The sequence below is a fragment of the Homo sapiens genome, chromosome 1, assembly GCF_000001405.40.
Source record: "Homo sapiens chromosome 1, GRCh38.p14 Primary Assembly".
In the NCBI taxonomy this organism is placed as follows: Eukaryota; Metazoa; Chordata; class Mammalia; order Primates; family Hominidae; genus Homo; species Homo sapiens.
In genome coordinates, this window is record NC_000001.11 from 117,268,017 (window position 1) to 117,270,153 (window position 2,137).

Consider the following 2,137-nt stretch of genomic DNA (forward strand, 5'->3'; position numbering starts at 1 on the left):
GTTCTCTGTTCCTAACCAACCCAAGCTATGGTATTGGCACAGAATTCTGTTTCTAGGGCTATGCCAGGTCAGGGGTACACACAGCACCCAAAAATCATGCTATAGAAGGCTATAATGCAAGTCTGGCTCTTCTGGAGCAGGTACATGAATGGAGCCAGCCTGCCATACTAGGTTCTATGGGAAACTGGGAGCACATGCCCCATGTAGCAGGGAAGCCAATACTTACCTCCAATAGCCAGGAGCCTTTGGGATTGAGGACCCAGTGTTGCCAGTCATAGCTATTTTTAAGAGATGTTAGAATTTTGTTTGTTTATATGTGAAATCACTTGCATTTTAAATATTGGCTCAGATTTTTAAATGTCTTTTAAAACACTGGCAGGCTAAACAAAATCCAGCCCATGGGCTGCCAATTCATCCTCTGCAGCATAGTAACAGTGAGGGATGAATGCTAAAGCCAGGCAGACCAGTGTGAATCCTGGCTCAGACCCTTGGTATGGCCATGGGTAAGGGAACCTCCCAGCCCTTCTACCTCCTAGCACTAATGGTCCAATCTCATAGCATTCTTGGGAAGACTGCAGTAATATAGGTGAAGCACTTAATGTGCTGCCAGTTACATCAGTACGCAAGAAAAGTTAGCACCGCCATTATAATAACCCTGAATCATAAAGACCTGAATGCCCTTAGTCAGAGCACCACCCAGAAAGCTCTCTAAGGCAAAGCCAGCACTCGTCTGCTAAAAGCCCTCTGTCCCTCTCAGCTAATTTCTGAACCAGTATCTTCCATGGCTTTGTGATCCCTGCTGGGAATTCAATGTTAAGGTAACATAGCAGCTTGTCATGTACTTCCCTGTGGCGTTTCTCTCTGGGGAGACAGAGACAAATGGAAAGAATGGACAAGGCGGGCTGCTCAAAGCACTCTGGATAGCCTTGGAGGATGCATGGACAGAGGAAAGCCCAGCTTCAGCCAGGAGGCCCCAGGGTGTTTGTTCCAGCAGATAAACATCCTTCCAGGAACAGTTTAGATCATCTGATATAAAAAAGTGGCCTCTGACCCAAGGCAGTTTTGTTCTGTTCTTTCTCAGCCAGTCAAGTGTAAGTGAAGAATGTGGCTGAGATTGGGATCTGGCCTGGAGTGCCTCACAGGGGGACACGACGGTTTAAATGCGGCTGAACCTTCTTTGGAATGCTGCCTGACTGGTGCTTCAGGTGTTACTTAAATTCTTAGCAAAGACAAAAGGAATCGAAAACAAGGTATACTAAACTGACCATTGTGCTATAGGGGCCTAAGGAAAGCTTCCCCTCCCCACTCTAAAATTTCACTGAGGGCCGGGGGCGGTGGCTCACCCCTGTAATCCCAGCACTGTAGGAGGCTGAGGAGGGCAGATCACCATGAATATTCAGTGTGAATATTCATGTGAGGAGTTTGAGACCAGCCTGGCCAACATAGTGAAACCCTATCTCTTCTAAAAATACAAAAATTAGCCGGGCATGGTGGCAGGCACCTGTAGTCCAGCTACTCTTGAGGCTGAGGCAGGAGAATCTCTTGAACCCGGGAGGCAGAAGTTGCAGTGAGCCGAGATTATGCCACTACACTCCAGCCTGGGTGACAGAGACTCTGCCTCAAAAAAAAAAAAAAAAAAAAATTTCATTGAAAAATCAACTCACAAAAGGCAGATTGATTGAAGAAAAGGCATACAAATTTATTAACATGCACACAGAATGAATTGCAGAGTGATTACCCCACCCCAACGGGATTCAGAAACTTATGTACCATCCTGGCAAAATAGGTTATGGGGTGATGGAGAAGAGAAATTCTGTTATGGGAATTGCTGGAGAGAATGAACGGTTCAAGGAACAGAGATGAACTTGTATGTTATCTTGTGAAAGGATCTGTTCAGGATCTCAGACAGATGAAGAAACTTCTTTTTTTTTCTTTTTAGTAGAGATGGGGTTTCACCATGTTGGCCAGGCTGGTCCTGAGCTCCTGGCCTCAAGTGATCCGCCCACCTCGACCTCCCAAACTGCTGGAATTACAGGCGTGAGAGACCATGTCTGGCCAGATAAATGAACTTCAACATCATCCTGTCTTTGGGACAGACTGGGGGGGCCAGATGGGGAAGATCAGAGAGACCTTGAGG

At 46.5% G+C, this 2,137-nt stretch overlaps 2 annotated features.

Moving 5' to 3' along the window:
* Positions 631 to 925: a silencer, noted in NCBI's record as "tiled region #504; HepG2 Repressive non-DNase unmatched - State 24:Quies, and K562 Repressive non-DNase unmatched - State 21:Repr". NCBI's record gives its function as "represses a minimal TATA promoter and a strong SV40 promoter by Sharpr-MPRA in HepG2 and K562 cells {active_cell/tissue: HepG2 | K562}" and the evidence as "EXISTENCE:reporter gene assay evidence [ECO:0000049][PMID:27701403]".
* Positions 887 to 1,405: an enhancer, noted in NCBI's record as "OCT4-NANOG-H3K27ac hESC enhancer chr1:117811525-117812043 (GRCh37/hg19 assembly coordinates)". NCBI's record gives its function as "activates a minimal SCP1, AML or CMV promoter by ChIP-STARR-seq in primed H9 embryonic stem cells {active_cell/tissue: H9 hESC(primed)}" and the evidence as "EXISTENCE:reporter gene assay evidence [ECO:0000049][PMID:30033119]".